The sequence below is a fragment of the Homo sapiens genome, chromosome 9, assembly GCF_000001405.40.
Source record: "Homo sapiens chromosome 9, GRCh38.p14 Primary Assembly".
NCBI lineage: Eukaryota > Metazoa > Chordata > Mammalia > Primates > Hominidae > Homo > Homo sapiens.
The window spans coordinates 83,717,461-83,737,521 of NC_000009.12; the positions used below are offsets into that span (position 1 = coordinate 83,717,461).

Below are 20,061 nucleotides of genomic sequence, written 5' to 3' on the forward strand. Positions count from 1 at the left end.
TTTTTTGTAGAGATGCGTTCTCCCTGTGTTTCACAGGATGGTCTCAAAATCCTGGGCTCAAGTGATCCTCCGACCTCAGCCTTCTAAAGTGCTAGGATAATAGGCCTGTGCCACTGTGCCCAGTCTCAAAGATTCTGCAGATTAAAATGTGGACATTTCTGGGCAGCCATTGTTCTATCCACTATAGCCAGGCAGTGCCTCTATTCACCAGATGTGCAGAATCATGGAAGACCTATAGAGAATTGTCTCTCAACATCCACCCCTTGTTTCTGTACTTTCTTGACTTCTGGCAAACTTTCCCATGAGTATGCCACACTGTTAAGTCACTCTGATGAATCTTCACCAGAGGCTGAGACCAAATCTATTCAATTTGTTTCATACAGCATTAATAAGGCTATTGTCAACAAGACTACTGGTAGCAAGATAAGGCCAACCTGCAATATTAATAACCATGTTTTCCAGGGTTCCAGGCACAATCGGCTGAACAAATCTTATAAAGCTTTAGGGTCTACTTCGGCTGCCTCCTTGGCATTGTTTATGAATTGATTTTTTCCACTTGGCCCAAGGAATATATCCAAGTACAGCAAGATGTATTAGCATTTACACATATTTCATCATGGCCTGCAAGAAGGAAATCTAGGGCAGTTATATCAATCAACAACCCTAAGCAGTGAAGTGAGGTGGATTTGAATCCCTTCCAGAGCCAATATGATATCACTGATCATTTCAGCTAAAGTTAGGAAAAATTTTGTTTCATTCTTTTAATTGGCGGGCTCACATTGTAGGAATAACTGGCGCAGGTGCATATATACATGACAAGTCAGCTATCCCTCTGAGAAAATCCTCTGAGTAATCTAGAGTAGCCTCATTTGCATAGTTCTCCCAGTTATCTACTGATGGTGTTTCCTTAAACACTTGAAGATTTCTTATGACCACCCCTACAGTGTAAGTCACTGTAAGGTGTTTTGGGGTTTGGTTTGGTTTTGAGACTGAGTCTTAATCTGTCACCCAGGCTGGAGTGCAGCAATGCAATCTCGGCTCACTGCAACCTCCACCTCTTAGGTTCAAGTGATTCTCCTGCCTCAGCCTCCTGAGTAGCTGGTGCTACAGGTGCATGCCATCACGCCCTGTGAATTTTTGTATTTTTAGTAGAGATTGGGTTTCACCATGTTGGCCAGGCTGGTCTGGAACTCCCGACCTCAAGTGATCTGTCTGCCTCAGCCTCCCAAAGTGCTGGGATTACAGGCGTGAGCCACCGCGCCCAGCCTGTAAGGTGTTTTTAAGACAAGGCAAGTTACTGGCTGACTTCTACATAAGAAATTCATGAGGCAGATGGATCACTTGAGGTTGGGAGTTCAAGACCAGCCTGGCCAACATAGTGAAACCTTGTCTCTACTAAAAATAAAAAAAATTAGCTGGGTGTGGTGGTGTGTGCCTGTAGTCCCAGCTACTCTGGAGGCTGAGGCATGAGAATCACTTGAACCCAGGAGGCAGAGGTTGCAGTGAGCCAAGATAGCACCACTGCACTCCAGCCTGGGTGACAAAGTGAAACTGCCTCAAAAAATTAATTAATTAATTAATTAATTAATTAATTAAATCCTGGGAGTATATGTGGTGCACCTGGAAAGAAAACATTGTTTATAATTATTGGAGCCCCCAACATATGATTCGCATTAGGGCCTCCCAGATGGTTGGTAGGCCTTAGGATTCCCAGTGCAGTTTGAATAACTGAGCCTAGTTTTTATTTATGGAGGGACTGCCCGAGGGCCTTCAGTCCATACCATTCTATTTGTCCTTGCCACCAGCCAGGTGGTATTCATCTACTCTATAGAATGACTAGCAAAATTTACAGGAGCAGGAGTGGGAAAGATACCCAGAGGTGCTGACAGATGTTTTGCATGAGAGATGCAGGAGCTGGGCCATTTTCTGCTCTTTTCAGTAGTTTTCTTATTAAGGTGAAGGAGTATGGCAATCAACTGCAGTCAGAGCTGTCTGGCAGGATGTGGCAGACGCAGTAGTCCGTCATATTCGAAGTGTTTGCTAGTTCAGGAGAGCCTCACCAGATTATTTTCCTTCATGAGTAAAGATCCAGTGATGGCTCTGAAAGATAGAAGATCATTGATATTTCTACCTTTCCTATGCCTCCCAAGCTCTAAGATGTTCCTTCTCCTAGTGCTGGGGTTGTTTAATCTACCTCCACCACCACCATGCCGGGTGCAATGGCTCATGCCTGTAATCCCAACACTTTGGGAGGCCAAGGCAGGCGGATCATTTGAGGTCAGAAGTTTGAGACCAGCCTGACCAACATGGTGAAACTCTGTCTCTATTAAAACACACACACACACACACACACACACACACACACACACACACACACACATTAGCCAGGTATGGTGGCACATGCCTGTAATTCCAGCTACTCAGGAGGCTGAGGCAGAAGAATCGCTTGAATCTGGGAGGTGGAGCTTGCAGTGAGCCAAGATTGCACCACTGCACTCCAGCCTGGGTGACAGAGCAAGACACCATCTCAAAAAAAAAAAAAAAAATCAATGTGTCTCAATCCAGTAGCTGTAACTTCACCTTTTTGTCAAATAATTTCCTTCTCACACACAGATCTTGTATCCAGAAAGGCAAGGTGTAACAACAACAACAAAAGGATATTTTTCTAAAACATATAGAGACCCATTGTGTCCCCCATTTTGGTCCACATGGGCTACTATAGGGAGCAATGTTCCCAACCACGTGGTCATTATCCTTATGACCTGGGACCTTGTTAAACAAGAGCTAAGTAGCTGAACCAGAATTAAATCCCTTAGGCCCCCTTTTGGCTGGCCGCCTCCCAGAGGATGTACCAACTGGGTCGGCCTGTGATTGCCATTAGGGTAAAGAGAGAAGCTTCATGCCCAGGAATTCCCAGGGTGGAATTCTGAATTTTCAAGGCAGATTTATTTATTTTTAATTTTTTTTTTAATTTTTTTTTTGAGATGGAATCTCGCTCTGTCGCCCAGGCTGGAGTGCAGTGGTGAAATCTCGGCTCACTGCAAGCTCTGCCTCCCGGGGTTCACGCCATTCTCCTGCCTCAGCCTCCTGAGTAGCTGGGACTACAGGCACCTGCCGCTACGCCCGGCTAATTTTTTGTATTTTTAGTAGAGACGGGGTTTCACCATGTGAGCCAGGATGGTCTCGATCTCCTGACCTCGTGATCCGCCCGCCTCTGCCTCCCAAAGTGCTGGGATTACAGGCGTGAGCCACTGCGCCCAGCAAGGCAGATTTATAAGCAACACATGCCCCACCCAATCCCATCCCTTTCGTCCTGATCATTATCTAGGAAGTGGCCAAGAAAAGATGATCCCTTTATGGGGACAGCCCCATTCAGTGACCAAAATACCTAGTACCAAAATGTGTGGACTAAGAAGAAATGTGAGAGATAGAGTGACATCTTTTTGAGTTAATTTTTGAGGTAATTGTTCCAATGCTCACCAATACCAAATGTCTGTGCATAGTGGGAGCATGGAAGGTCCATTAAGTATCTTGATTGTTAGCCCACTGAGTGGCTTTTGCCATAAAAGGCACAGCAGCACTAGATTGCAAATGGTCCAGAAACTCAAAGGCATGATGCAAATTAGTTTCAAGGACCACAACAGTGTGGCTAAAGTCAGCTGATTGGACTGAACCAGTTACATAATAACATGAAAAAGTGTCAACAACAGTTAGGCACCACCAATATCCATGAGAGGGGGTCAAAAGTCCAGTGAAATTAATATGTCAGGAGCATGGTCTCATTCACTGTGAGACAAATGTGTCAACTTTTGTCAGGAGTCACAGGTTTGGCATGCAATGGTAGCCTTTGCATCAGGTATATAAATTACTCTGCCCTGTCTATGATGATGAGTGTGTACCATGTCTAGTACAATGATGCACAGAGGCAACAATGGTGTCAGGGCAGTCCACGCTTGATCAGTGCTTGACTCCAATCAGCCTCATCAGAGACTGGGCTTTTACCATGGACATCTACTTGAGGCACCCACATAGTTGAGTCAGCAGCTGTGATTTGTTTCCACAGTTCATGGCCCCAAAGAGGAGTGTTTTCAGTCTGCTAGTTTGTAGTTTCCAAGTGCAGACCAAAGAGCCAGGCCAGTGCAACAGCCCAAGAGTTAGTATTAATATAACAAGGTTCATCAAGAGGACTATGGTCACAGATAAGAAACTGGCCTTGAATTCTGCCTACTAATACAGTAACCACATCCATTTTTGGTTCTACATAGTCAACACTAGGGCTGAACAGCTACAACAGCTCAGACAACTCCCATCAGGTTTCAGTTTGGCCAAACCATGTGTGAATTAGGCACAGGCATTTAGGATGATGAATTGTGAATTGAAGGCATCACTGAGCTGGTGGCTTTCATTCAGACAGAAAAGTCAGGAGGAAAGGGGAAAGATAAGGTTTCTCCCTGAGAGATAGGTGCCACTTTCTCCTATAAAGCCAAGATGCTTCTAGGGCCAGAACAGTGGCATTCTTGAATATATTGTTTCCATTTGACAAACAAGGCTTGTTGAGCCCTTCCCACCTTGTTAGTCATTCTGTTCAAGTTGATGCTCCCCAAAATGGGAATATCAGGCTAGAAGTCAAAAGGCCTTTATCAGTCAGGCACTGTGTTTCAACAAGAGCCCAGCAGCAAACTACCAGGTGCTTTTCAAAATGGATATATATGGTTGCCATGTCAGGGAGGCTATGAGTCCCAAACCCCAAGGGCACCTCCAGATAGAAGCTGCCCCCCTTTGTCAGAGGCTTCAATCAGCAAAATCATCAGTCACATAAACTTGTAACTTAGAGGGGTCGTTAGGACTATGGTGCCTCAGGCACTAGCACTTTTCTACCTGCAGCTTTTCCCAATCAGGAGACTCTCCTATAGCACTTACAGGATGAGGGACCACAAGTATAAAACACATCAATTCCTATTATATGTTCATATGTAAAAGCAATACACAATACACTGATTGAACCACGGGTCCCACCGACCTATTAGCTCTCCTTCACCAGGTGAACTCTGCCCAGGTTCCATTAGCTGAATCCACATGCTAGTGCCTCCCATGGAAATGGGTAGAATAGTGACTCAGATGCCTATATCCAGCAAAACCATAAGAATTGGAGTTCCTCCCCTCCCCAAAGTTCCCCAGCACACTTGACAGGTGCATAGATCTTCAGTACCCCTTGGTGACCAGGAAACTCCTAATCATCTATTCCTTAAATCAGGCTGGGGTAGTGGGGGAGGGACGGATTGAGAGGCACAGGAGAGAGTGACTATGCACAGTAAGCAAGGTGCATTTTAAGCTATGCAGTGGCTGACCACAGCTTAACCAAACAAACTTCCAATGTTTTCCATCCACTGAAAGCCATATATAAGGTTGCAAAGTCTTAATTTGCTCATAGTGTTTCAGCCTTGGGAACTGTGGCAGCCAGAACCACATTTTCCAAGTATGTCTGGGGTTTGTGCCCTTAGGGCTTGGCTCACAAAATGTGACCTTTTTGAGGAGTCCACCTTAATCTGGGATATCTGCTGCCCCATTATCAAAATAACATCTCTTAAATTCAACATAAGTGATAGGTGGAGTCTTCCATGACGGCAGGGCTAATTACAAGAAGTTATCTAGATTTCTTTGGGTTTCTTATTCTTCAGTTGGTTACCTCATCAACATTGTAATCTCAGTCTGAGGCAGTTTGTTAGAGCCTTAATAGTAATCTGAATGCCTCATTTATCATTTCCCACAGGAGTTATGTGTCTCAGGAAAATCTCTCTCAGAGGACCAAAGCTTTTTGTGGCAGTCCATGTGCACTGCAAAAAATTCCAAGACTTTTTACTGTCATCTCCAGATGGATCTAAGATTAGCATGATAGACTAAAGGAAGACCTGAGCTGTAAAATAGCCTAGCTGTTGCCTTTCTTATCAAACATTACACACCTACACCCTCATCTCCCAAGTAAACCAGTCAAAGTTCTAAAAATTTACTTGGTTTCTGCCCATAGCAGTTGCATATTTCCCTTTTATGTTCAATGTAAGTGCATACTCTTCATTGTTTGAAAGAAGGCAAAATTTAGCTGTAGTTACAATGGAGTAACTTGCAGATTGACAAAGAAGTTCTCTCACCCAGAGAAGAGTCAGCAACAACCAGGCCACCATTTGGGTAGCTGTCATTAAACCTATTTCCCAGTAGTTGGCCTGCGACCACCTTTCCAATTCTTCCTCATTAACAGGCAGTAAAATGGAGAACAATGTGTAGCCTGATTGAGAATACAATTTAATCAATAGGTTCCTTTGGACTTCCTGATGATTCCCTAAAATCCCATTAATGAGGCCACAAGACCCCTATCTTTCCTCTTCCAAAAAGCCACGTCTCTGACAGCATCCCATCCTGGGTATCAAAACTTTCAAGAACTGTGAAGCATCTGAGGTTTTACTCTACATGCCAACTAACAAGTTAGTCTGAGGCCAGGCATGGTGGCTCATGCCTGTAATTCCAGCACTTTGGGGGGCCAAGGCAGGTAGATCACCTGAGGTCAGGAGTTCAAGACCAGCCTGGCCAACATGGTGAAACCCCGTTTCTGCTAAAAATACAAAACTTAGCTGGGTGCGGTGGCACATGCCTGTAATCCCAGCTACTGGGGAGGCTGAGGCAGGAAAATCACTTGAACCTGGGAGGCAGAGGTTGCAGTGAGCCCAGGTCATGCCATTGCACTCCAGCCTGGGTGACAGAGTGAGACTCCATCTCAAAAAAACACAAAAACAAAAAACAAGTTAGTCTGCCACAATTTTATGGATGTGGATAGAAGACATAAGACTCCTGAAACAAAGGACCTTATTACTGACAGCAATACGGTAGGCAAAATATCAGTATTTTAGTGTGCCAGTTCCCCAAGGCCTAGCTGCCAGAGTTGTGGCAACTCAAAGAGGGCCAAATGTCATCAGTACATGTAGTAGACTGCATTACAAGAGAGGAACTCTGAGCTTAGGGAACCCAAATCTTTTATAATAGGCAGTAAACCTTCCTGCCCTTTGCTCTCACAGGGAACACTATCTTGTGAGGCTGTAACTATTTTGAGCTTTGCATACTATACAGTCTCTGTTGCAATTACTCAGCTGTTGTAAGCACTAAAGCAGCCATAGACAATATGTAAATGAATCAGTGTAGCAATCAATGTTATAATAAAACTTCACTTGTGGATACTGAAATTGGGATTTCTTCTGCTTTTCATATGTTATGAAATATTTTTCTTTTTTTTTCAACCATAAAAAAATGTAAAAACTATTATTACTCACAGGCTGTAGGCAAACAGGCAGCAGATCTGATTTGGCCCATGCTACTCTATAGAATAAGATCCTCAAACTAGCATAATTCCAGTTAAGAAATGGCAACACTTTAATTAATTTATTATTTATAAGTACATTCCCCACATTGGGAGAATTTAGAGTTACAGAAAAAAGAAAAATCACTTAATTACTAAGGTTTACAAAAATGCTAATTGTAAGAACTCCCTAATAGTCTTTTCTTTTCTTTTTTTTTTTTTTGAGATGGAGTCTCGGTCTGTTACCCAGGCTGCAGTGCAGTGGTGTGATCTTGGCTCACTGCAACCACCTCTGCCTCCTGGGTTCAGGCAGTTCTCCTACCTTAGCCTCCTGAGTAGCTGGGACTCAGGCAAGCACCACCATGCCCAGCTAATTTTTATATTTTTTGTAGAGATGGGGTTTCACCATGTTGGCCAGGCTGGTCTCGAACTCCTGACCTCAGGTGATCCACCTGCTTTGGCTTCCCAAAGTGCTGAGTTTACAGGCATGAACCACTGCGCCTGGCCTCCTAATAGTCTTCAATTAAGTTTAGGGTGAAATGCTCAACTGTTTATAAGACAAACTCTGAAGTTTCATGAAAGATTAAGCACTCTGTTTCAATTGTGTATAATCAAGGTGCAATCCCTGAAGAGTATGACTGTATTGATATACATATTGACTATCTTAGTCTGTTTTGTGTTGCTATAACAGAATAGCTAGGCCTGGGTCATGTTTAAAGAACAGAGGTTTATTTCACTCATAGTTCTGCAGACTGGGAAGTTCAAGGGAATGGCACTGGCTTCTGGTGAGGGTTTTCTGGTTATGTCATAACATGGCAGAAAGTCACAGGGGGCAGTGGACATGTACAAAGGGGGGCCAAACAGGAGGAACCTCACCTTGTAACAACCCACTTTTGAGAGAACTAATCCACTCCTTAACAGTAAGAACTCACTTGGCATTAATCTATTCATGAGAAATCTGCCACCCATAACCCAGACACCTCTCACTAGACCCCCACCTCCCAACACTGCCACATCGGGAATCAAATTTCAACATGACTTTTGGTGGGGACAAACCACATCCAAACCATCATTGGAAGATGGTGTCATAGCTTGAGTGGGGTAAGCAAGAAGTTTATGTATGGGATTGGTAACCTAAATGTGGAAAGCAAAACTTAGTAACTTTTAGAAGCTAGCAAAGGATTTCTTTAAAAAGATGCAAAAAGCACAAATCATAACAAAAACACTTAAATAACTACATTAAAATTAAAAAAAACCTGTCTCTACTAAAAATACAAAAATTAGCCAAGCGCAGTGACCCGCACCTGTAATCCCAGCTACTCGGGAGGCTGAGGCAGGAGAATCGCCTGAACCCAGGAGGCGGTTGCATTGTGCCGAGACTGTGCCACTGCACTCCAGCCTGGGCCACAGACCGAGAGTCCGTCTCAAAAAACAAAACAAAACAAAACAAAACAAAACAAAACAAAACAAAACACCTTCTGGCTGGGTGCAATGGCTCACAGCTATAATCCCAACACTCAGGGAGACTGAGGCAAGAGGATCACTTGAGCTCAGGAGTTTGAGACCAGCCTGGGCAACATAGTGAGACTTAATCTCTACGAAAAGAAAAAAGAAAAAACATTAGCCAGATGTGGTGGTGCATGCCTTGTAGTCCCAGCTACTCAGGAGGCTGAGGCAGGAGGACCACTTGAGCCCAAGAGGTCTTCAAGGCTGCAGGGAGCCATGATCACACCACTGCACTTCAGCCTGGGTGACAGAGTGAGACCTTGTCTCAAAATAAATAAATAAATAAAATAAAAAACTTCTGTACATCAAAAACTTTATAAACAAAATGAAAAGACAAGCCATATGCTGCAAAGTGTATGTGGGAAACACATAAACAACAATTAGTATCCAGAATATATCAAGAATACCTGCATATAAATAAGAAAAAAATACCTAAAAGAAAAATGAGCATTTCACTCAAATGTAAACGCCTAAGAAATGCTCAATCTCATTAGTTTATATGGAAAAATACAAATTTAAACAAGGTATTATTTCATACCCATTATACTTATAGGCAAAAACAAATCTGACAATAGTAAGTGTTGTTAAGGCTGTAAAGAAAAGGGAAGTTTCACATACTGCTACTGGGAGTGTAAATTGGTATAGCCACTTTGGAAAATAATACTGACATTATCCAGTAAAGTTGATGATACTCACATCCAACAATCCAGCAATTCTACTTCTAAGTATAGGTCTTAGAAAACTCCCTTATAGTATCACAAGAGACATGTACAAGAATATTTATTGCAACACTGTTTGTAATAATTAAAGTGGGAAATAACATATTTATGTATCATATTCATATAGCAGAATATGATACAGCAAGCAAAATCAGCAAACCAGAGATATAGGTATCAATTTAGCAAAATCTAAAAAACATTCAGCAGAAACAAATGCAAGTCGTATATCACTACATATAGTATATCATTTATATCAAGTTTTAAAATATGCAAAACAATATATTATGGTATAAAAACATGCATAGGAATAAAAACAAATAAATGAAGATAGTAACCACCTTTGAGAGAAAGGGAATGGAATTGGGGAAGAATACATGGAAAGATGTGCCTCAATTGTATCCGTATTACTTTATTCCTTAAGCTCAGTGAGACATACATGTTTTATTTCTTCCCTACCTCTGAAATGCCTCATTGATTTAGACAGATTCTTTTTAAACTTTCAAAGTGAAGTAGTATCCTTCTCCTTTCTCTTCCTAATTCAGTCCTAAAGTCAACAGGTGGGTTCAAGAGTGCAAGAGAAGAAGGTAGGGGGGCATGGTGGCAGGCACTATAGCCAGAGCTGAGTGTCAGAGACTGAGCAGGGTGAGAAGGGCATTCCCACAGTGGAGTGGGGAGGCAGCACCGATAGGAGATGGGTTACAAATGAGGACATTCATGAAATAAATACAATTGATCCTCATTGTTTGTGGATTCCATATTTGAGAATTTGCCTACTTGGTAAAATGTATTTGTAACCTCAAAATCAATACTTGTGATGCTTTCATGACCATTCATGGACATGCACATAGCAACAAAAAACTTAAGTTGCTGGATATACACATTCCCAGCTGAGGCCTTCTTGTTTCATTTCAGCTCTCATACTGTAAACAAGTATCTTTTCCACAGTTTATTTACTGCCAAATTTTTTAAAAAGGCATTTTTTGCTTTTTGTGGTGATTTCACTGTTTAAAATGGCCCCAAGCATAGGGCTGAAGTGCAGACTAGCGTTCTTAAGCACAAGAAGGCTGTGATGTGCCTTATGGAGACAACACATATTAGATAAGCTTTGTTAGGCATGAGTTATAGTGCTGTGGCCATGAGTTTAATTTTAATGAATGAACAATATATATTAAGTAAGGGTCCTTAAATAGAAACACACATAAAAGAAGGTTACATATTGATCAGTGGATAGAAATGCTGTGACCAGAGACTTGGAGGAACCAAACTCTGTGCTTCTTCTCTGACCAGTTGTTCAGTATTTAGTAATTCGGTGTTCCCGGGGACTTTATAGAGTGTAACTACTGTGAGTAATAAGACTCAATTGTAAGGATATTAAGGATAATGGGAGCCAGGTCTCTTACTGTCTGAGAAGGGAATTACAAATATGGTAAGCGAGAAAACTAGAATGAAATTACAATACTGGATTAGAATCAGTTGAACTCATGGTTTTCAGTATAGATATAATTATAGATGGAAATGTATCTATGAATGTATGTATTCTTTTTCTTAAAATAATTTCAACTTTTATTTTAGATTCAGGGGTACACGTGCAGGTTTGTTACATGGGTATATTACATGATGCTACAGAAGGATTCTTGTATTGACTGAGCCTAGCAGGGCCTGGCAACCTCCAACATAGTTCTCACTTTAAAATCTGGTGGAGAAAAAAGCAACTACCGGGAGGGAGGTGGGGGGGTCAGCCCCCCGCCCGGCCAGCCGCCCCGTCCGGGAGGTGAGGGGCGCCTCTGCCCGGCCGCCTCTACTGGGAGGTGAGGAGCCCCTCTGCCCGGCCACCACCCCGTCTGGGAGGTGTACCCAACAGCTCATTGAGAACGGGCCATGATGACAATGGCGGTTTTGTGGAATAGAAAAGGGGGAAAGGTGGGGAAAAGATTGAGAAATCGGATGGTTGCCGTGTCTGTGTAGAAGGAGGTAGACACGGGAGACTTTTCATTTTGTTCTGTACTAAGAAAAATTCCTCTGCCTTGGGATCCTGTTGATCTGTGACCTTACCCCCAACCCTGTGCTCTCTGAAACATGTGCTGTGTCCACTCAGGGTTAAATGGATTAAGGGCGGTGCAAGATATGCTTTGTTAAACAGATGCTTGAAGGCAGCATGCTCGTTAAGAGTCATCACCACTCCCTAATCTCAAGTACCCAGGGACACAAACACTGCGGAAGGCCGCAGGGTCCTCTGCCTAGGAAAACCAGAGACCTCTGTTCACTTGTTTATCTGCTGACCTTCCCTCCACTATTGTCCTATGACCCTGCCAAATCCCCCTCTGCGAGAAACACCCAAGAATGATCAATTAAAAAAAAAAAAAAATTAAAAAAAAAAAAGCTAAAAACAAAACAAAACAAAAAAAAACCACTTTGCAACACAGCTTTCTGTTTGCTTAGCAATTACTACAGAGCACACTGCTTTTCATGAAAGGAATTGGTCAGAACTGTTTATAAGAATTACCACAAATGTTTATATATTTATATTATAAAGAATTAGTTGACAATTTCATAAAATTTCTCTTCAACAATTTAAAAAAAAAAAGAAAAAAGCAACTAAAATTTTTCAGCACAAATATTGTTTTTTCAACCTCAAAAGAGGCTGTTTCCCCTATGAAACTGTGAATTTAAAAAAATCAGTACAAAAATACATCTAAGTGAACAGTGTAATTAGAATGTTATTCTAAATATAGGCTGAATTTGATAATTAAATGAAAACTTTACAGGCAGGCTGGACTGGGCTTAGACCTATTTTTGTAGGAGTTTAGACTCTGTAAAATATCTTACACAACAACTAGCCATTTTTTTTTTAGAAGGCTGTATCTTAAAATTCACTGCTAAGCAAGCCAGTACAATGCAAGGGAGGAAGGGAGAGAGGAAAGAAGAGGAAAAAGGAAGAGAAAGAGGAGGAGGAGCAGGAGAGAGAGTATGCTTTCAAAAGGAGTAGCTTTTCTGCAAAGTAGAAGCCAAATCTCTTAGGTTCAGTGTACTAAACACACACGTTCAGCCATTGTGAAAAGCAATTTGGCGATTTCTCAAGGAACTCAAAGCAGAATTACCTCTCAACCCAGCGATTCCATTATTGGGCATATACCCAAAGGAAAATAAATCATTCTACCATAAAGACACATGCATGTGTATGTTCATCACAGCATCACAGCACTATTCACAACAACAAAGACATGGAATCAACCAAAATGCCCATCAACGGTGGACTGGATAAAGAAAATGTTGTACACAAACACCATAGAATACTGTGCAGCCAAAAAAAGAACAAGATCACATCATTTATAGCTACATAGATGGAGCCAGAGGCCAGTATCCTAGTGAACTAACACGGGAACAGAAAAGCAAATACCACATGTTCTCACTTACAAGTGAGAGCTAAACTTTTGAGTACATACGGACACAAAGAATGGAATAACAGACACCAATGCCTACTTGAAGGTGGAGGGAGGGAGAAGGGTGAAGATCAAACAACTACCTATCAGTTACTATGCTTATTACCCGGGTGGAGAAATAATCTGTACACTAAACCCCCGTGATATGCAATTTACATATATAACAAACCTGTACATGTACCCCTGACCCTAAAATAAAAGTTAAAAAAAAGAATAAAAGAAATAGATCACAAGGCACAAAAGTAAAAGTGGGTGAGGCTGGGTGAAGTGGCTTACATCTGTAATCCCAGTACTTCAGGAGGCCAAGGCTGTAATCCCAGTACTTCAGGAGGCCAGTACTCCTTGAGCCCAGGAGTTTGAGACCAGCCTGATCAACAAAACAAGACCGCCACCTCTACAAAAAAGAAGAAGAAACAAGGAGGAGAAAAAGGAGAAAGAGGAGGAGAAGGGGAAGAAAAAGGAAGAGGAGGAAGAAAACATAGCCTTTATTGAAATGCAGAAGTTATTTTTGTCTTGTTTGGTGTTGGACCATTAAATCTATTTTACCACTTCATACACTGCCTCTATCCCAACATGCTCCAAAAGATAAGTGCAAATCTTTATGAATTATATGACCAGTATTGTAAGTCTAAGTCTTAGAATGAAGAGACTGAGGCAAAGGACAACTAAATTGCTATCATCGGGTAAATGGTCAACACAGCCAAAACATAGTCTGGGTTTTCTGGATTTCCATCCCATTTTCCTTCATTAGACATTAACTCACTAAAGGCCACTGCATCTCACAAGCATGTAGTATCTACATCTCACTTTAGAAGGGCTATTATAAAGTTTTCCATTTGATGGAAAAGCTGGATAAATAATACTTCTGTATCCCTGATTAATACAAGAGCAATAAAACTGTAAACGTCTTTAATTATTTATTTATTTATTTATTTATTTTGAGACAGAGTCTCGCTCTATCGTCCAGGCTGGAGTGCAGTGGCGCAATCTCGGCTCACTGCAAGCTCTGCCTCCCGGGTTCACGCCATTCTCCTGCCTCAGCCTCCCGAGTAGCTGGGACTACAGGCGCCCGCCACCATGCCCGGCTAATTTTTTGTATTTTTAGTAGAGACGGGGTTTCATTGTGTTAGCCAGGATGGTCTCGATCTCCTGACCTCGTGATCTGTCCGCCTCTGCCTCCCAAAGTGCTGGGATTACAGGCGTGAGCCACCGCGCCCATGTAAAGGCCTTTATTAAATAGCTTCAGGGAGCTGGGACAAAGAGAAAAAAACTTTACATCAAATACTAAACACAGTCACCCCAAATTTCATGATATTCCAAATAGAGAAACTGCCTCCATGTTTTCACCTCCAAAGAACAGAGGACAGTTTTATTTTCTCCTAAATGGAGCAGTTGGAAGTAGAACTCAACTGCTGAGCAAACTGCCTAAAAAGGAGACTATTTCAGTAATTTTTCTTTTTCATATTAGCAACAAAATGGGAGGGGCATGGTCTAAGGCAGGCCAAATTGTGTTTATTCTTCCATTTTTTTCTACATTTCAATTTATTCTTTTCTGAGTTTTACACCAATTATCTTGTTAGAGATGCATATTTGTTTTAGTCCTAAGAAATACTTGACTGCCTTGACAGAGCTGTTTGTCAAGCAGATTAAGCTTCTCCAAAGATACGAAAACTAATGAAAAAAAAGTTTAAACTTACATTCAGAACTCTTAGTCCTTAAGCAGTGGTGTGCTGATAAATGTTTAACAAATGGCTGGGGTAGGGAAGGGGGTGCATTTGTAGCTTGTATCATTTGCCAATTTCCATGCTGTAAATATTCCACCATATTCAATTTCAAGATATCAATATGATACGACATTACTCAGTATGAACCTGGGAAAAGATGCACACAATCAACGCTCTAAAGCAAGTAAGAGCTATGGCCAATGCATTACTGTGATCTTAAATCACAGATTACTACTCAGCATATAGTATTCCCAATTGTAGTCATGTATACTGTTTAAAGTACACTTTTAAAATTTACGTGGTGTTCAAAAATTCCCCCTTTTGCTCATTATTTCTCAAAAGGGCAAAATCGAGAATATTTTTAAAATCACAAAAAAGGCAAAATGAACATTTAGAGTCTTCCAGGGCCCCAGACACATCCATACGTTTTTAAGAGGGAGGAAAAAGCCTAATTGTTTCTTCCTAGAAATATTTAAATAGTTTATTTTATTTAAGGGTCTAGGGTCTAGGATTATTTTAGTTTTCTAACATAACATGTAACTGCCTTATGGAGAGTATTTAAGATAAGAGATGCTTGCAAACAGTCCCCCTTTTAAGAATTTTGTGATATATATTATGTGGTACATAAAGCACATCATATATATAATTTAGATATATATTAAGATATGCATAAATATACAATTGTATCCAAGGTCAAGGAATAGAACCAGCAGCCCAAAAGATTACCCTGGTGTGTCTCTTCCTATCATAATCCTCTCCCAGCCCCTAGAGATAAACAATAAAATGATTTTCATGATAATCATGTATTTGATTTTGTATGTTATCATCTGTAAAATATCAATATGTAATTAATTTTGCCTATTTTCAAATTTCATATGTCTAAAATCGTACTATTTGTATTCTTTCTTTCTTCTTTCACATAGTATTGTTTGAGATCCATCCATATTGTTACTATATAGGGGAGGCTTGTTAATCTATTTCAGATGGATTTCTTTTCCCCAGTTTTTTACTATAACAAATGATGCTTCTATGAATATGTACGTAAGATTCTTCAGGGTACACATACGTAAGGGTGGAATTGCTGGGTTATGAGATCCATGAATCTTCAGCTTTGCAAGGTAATGCCAAAATATGTTCCAAAATGGTTGTAACAATTTACACTACCGCCAGTTCTGTAAGAGAATTTTGGTTGGTCCCAAATTTCACCAATCCTGGTTATTATCAGACTTTTAAATTTTTGCCATGTTGGTAGAGGAATTCTTTGTTGGGTAGAGTGTTCTGTATATGTCTGTTTGATCCAATTGGTTTATTCTGTGGTTCTATTTTCCTTATCTTCGGTGTGGTTGTTCTATTTAATGTTGAGAGTGGGATATTGAAGTCTCCAACTATCATTGTAGAACAATTTCTCCATTCAATTCTATTAGTTTTTGCTTCATAAATTTTGATAGTTTACTAGATGCATAAATGTTTATTATATCTACTTGCTGTATTGAACATTTTATTAATATATAAAATCTTCTTTGTCTCTTGCAACCTTTTTTGACTTAAAGTCTATTTTGTCTGATATTACGTAGCCATTTCTATTCTCTTTAGGTTACTATTTGCGTGGAATATCCATTTCTATCCTTTCGCTTTCAACCTATTTGTGTCTTTGGGTCTAAAGCAAGTGTCTTGTGGAGAGCATTTAGTTGGATCATGGTTTTTATCTACATCCATTTTGCCAGTCTCTTTTGATTGGATTATTTAGTCCATTTACATTTAAAGTAATTACTAATAAGAAAAAACTGCTGTCATTTTGCTGTTTATTTTCTATATGCCTTATAGCATTTTGATTTCTCATTTCCTGCATTACTGTCATTTAAATTCTTTCTGTGTATGTTGTTTTTTTTGTTTTTGTTTTTGTTTTTTGAGGCGGAATTTTGCTCTTGTTGCCCAGGCTGGAGTGCAATGGCACAATCTCAGCTCACTGCAACCTCCACCTCCTGGGTTCAAGTGATTGTTCTGCCTTAGCCTCCCAAGTACCTAGGATTGCAGGCCATTTAGATTTTTCTTTATGTGAAGAGCCTAATATTGTTTTTTCTCTACTTTTTTATGGTAGGGAATACATATAACGTAAATACACATAGCATAAAATTTAAAATCTTCATCATTTTTAGGTGTACAGTTTAGTGACATAAAGTATATTCATATTGTACAATTATCACCACCATCCGTCTCCCATCAGGTCCAGGGCTTTTCTTTCTTAAAACAAAAGTTTGATTATTGATTCAATCTTCTTACTAGGTATAGGTCTATTAAAAATTTCTATTTATTTGTGGTTTAATCTTGGTGAATTTTCTGTTTCTAGTAATTTTTCCATTTCATCTAGGTTATCGAATTTGTTGGTGTACAATTGCTCATAGTACTCTTATCCTTTATTTCTGTAGAATTTGTAGTAATGTTCCCACTTTGATTTCTCATTTTAGTAATTTGAGTCTTCTTCCTTTTTTTCTTAATCTAGCTGAAGTCGATTTTGTTAATCTTGTTGAAAAACCAACTTTTGGTTTTGTTAATCTTCTCTATTATTTTTCTCTTTTTAAATTTAATTTATCTCTGCTTTAGTCTCTGGATTCCTTCCTTCTACTAGCTTTAGGTTTAGTTTGTTCTTCTTTTTCTAATTCCTTACTTTGCAAAGTTAGGTTGTTGATTTGAGATTTCTTATTTTTTAATATAAACACTTATAGTAATTTCCCCCTTAGCACTGCTTTCACTGTGTCCCATAGGTTTTGGTATTTTGTGTTTTTGTTTTCATTTGTCTCTAAGTATTTTGCAACTTCTTTTGTAATTTCATCTTTGTTCCATTGGTTAAGAGTGTGTTAATTTCCACAAGTTTGTAAATTTTTCCATTTTTCTTTTGTTACTGATATCTAACTTCCTATCTTTGTGGCTGGACAAGATACTTTGACATCTATCTTTTGAAGTCTATTGATGGAAGATGAGTCAGATGAGACCAAAAAAAAAAAAAAATGGAAAGTCTTTTGAGACTTAGCTTGTGGCCTAATATATGGTCTGTCCTGGAAAATGTTCCATATGCACTGGAGAAAAAATAGGTATTCTGTTGTTGGGTAGAGTGTTCTGTATATGTCTGTTTGATTCAATTGGTTTATTCTGTGGTTCAAGTCCTCTATTTTCCTTATCTTCGGTGTGGTTGTTCTATTTATTATTGAGAGTGGATATTGAAATCTCCAACCATCATTGTTGAGCTATTTCTCCAATTCTATTAGTTTTTGCTTTGTATATTTTGATAGTTTGTTATTAGATGCATGTTTATTATATCTACTTGCTGTATTGGACATTTTAATACATAATGTCTTGTCTCTTGCAAACTTTTTAAAGTCTATTTTGTCTGATATTATGTAGCCACTTCTATTCTCTTTAGGTTACTATTTGTGTGGAATATCCATTTCTATCCTTTTACTTTCAACCTATCTGTGTCTTTGGATTTAAATCAAGTGTCTTGTGGAGAGCATTTAGTTGCAGGTGTCTTTGGATCTAAAGCAAGCGTCTGTGGAGAGCATTTAGTTGGATCATGGTTTTTATCTACATCCATTTTGCCAGTCTCTGTCTTTTGACTGGATTATGTAGTCCATTACATTTAAAGTAATTACTGATAAGACTTCTGTCATTTTGCTGTTTTCTATACGCCTTATAACTACATTCCTTTGCAATGTTCATACAACCTCATGGGAGAGGCCAGACATATATAAGCAATGATGACAATTTCATTACCTTTGCGTTTTTCTTTTTTCAAAGACTGTCATGAAGTGGAATTTTTCATATAAGGCTGGTTTTGGAGGCCAAGACCAGCATTTTAAAAAATTTTAAGTTCAGGGGTACATTGCAGGTTTGTTACATAGGTAAGCTTGTGTCACAGGGGTTGTACAAATTATTAAATCACCCAGGTACTAAGCCTAGTACCCACTGGTTATTTTTCCTGATCCTCTCACTCCTTCCACTCTCCACCCTCTGGTAGGCCCCAGTGTATGTCGCTCCCCCTATGCATTCGTGTGTTTTCATTTAGCCCTCACTTGTTAAGTGAGAACATGAGGTATTTGGTTTCCTGTCCCTGTGTTAGCTAAGGATACTGGCCTCCAGCTCCATCCATGTTCCTGCAAATGACACAATTTTGCTGTTTTTTTTTTTTTTTAATGGCTGCATAGTATTTATCGTGTATTTGCACCACATTTTCTTTATCCAGTCTGCCATTGATGGCCATTTAGGTGGATTCCACATTTTTGCTATTGTGAACAGTGCTGCAATGAACACGTGTGCATGTGTCTTTATGACAGAACGATCTATATTCCTCTGGATATATACCCAGTAATGGGACTGCTGGGTCAAATTGTATTTCTGTTTTTAGTTATTTGAGAAATCGCCACACTATCATCCTCAATGATTGAACTATTTTACACTCCCACCAAGAGTGTATAAGCATTCCTTTTTGTCCACAACTTCGCCAGCCATCTGTTATTTTTTGACTAACAGCAGCCATTCTTACTGGTGTGATGTGGTATCTCACTGTGATTTCAATCTGCCTCTCTCTAATGATCAGTGATGTTGAGCTTTTTTTTCATGATTGTTGGCTGTATGTCTTCTTTTGAAAAGTGTCTGTCCATGTCTTTTGCCCACTCTTTAATGTTTTTTTTTTCTTGTAAATTTAAGTTCCTTATAGATGCTGGGTATTAGACCTTTGTCGGATGCATAGTTTGCAAAAATTTTCTCCCATTCTGTAGGCTGTCTGTTCACTCTGTTGATAGTTTCCTTTGCTGTGCAGAAGCTCTTTAATTAGATCCTGTTTGTTAAATTTTGCTTTTGTTGCAATTGCTCTTGGTGTCTTTATCATGAAATCTCTGCCTGTTTCTATGTCCAGAATAGGACTGCTTAGGTTGTCTTCCAGAGTCTTTACAGTTTGGAGTTTTACATTTAAGTCTTTAATCCATCTTAATTTTTGCATATGGTGTAAGGAAGGGGTCCAGTTTCTGTTTTCTGCATATGGTTAGCCAGTTATCCCAGCACTATTTATTAAATAGGGAATCCTTCCCCCATTGCTTATTTTTGTCAGGTTTGTTAAATATCAGACAGTTGCAGGTGTGCAGCCTTATTTCTGGGTTACCTATTCTGTTCAATTGAAGACCAGCATTTATGTGTTCATCTTTGTTATCACACACACAAAATTGTATTTTACTTTTATTTTTTTGAGACAGCGTCTTGCTCTGCTGCCCAGGCTGGCATGCAGCAGTGTGATCTCAGCTCACTGCAACCTCCACCTCCGGGGTTCAACCAATTCTTGT

The 20,061-nt window shown here is 39.9% G+C and overlaps 1 long non-coding RNA gene across 1 annotated transcript; it reads right to left on the minus strand.

The window, feature by feature from the left end:
• Nucleotides 1-1,714: 1,714 nt before the first annotated feature.
• LOC124902191 (uncharacterized) lies at nucleotides 1,715-19,983 on the minus strand. Its single transcript, XR_007061617.1, has 2 exons — nucleotides 14,705-19,983; nucleotides 1,715-2,100 (listed from the first exon to the last, which is right to left on the minus strand). It is a non-coding gene; the product is annotated as an uncharacterized LOC124902191 (long non-coding RNA).
• Between the last annotated feature and the right edge of the window lie 78 nt (nucleotides 19,984-20,061).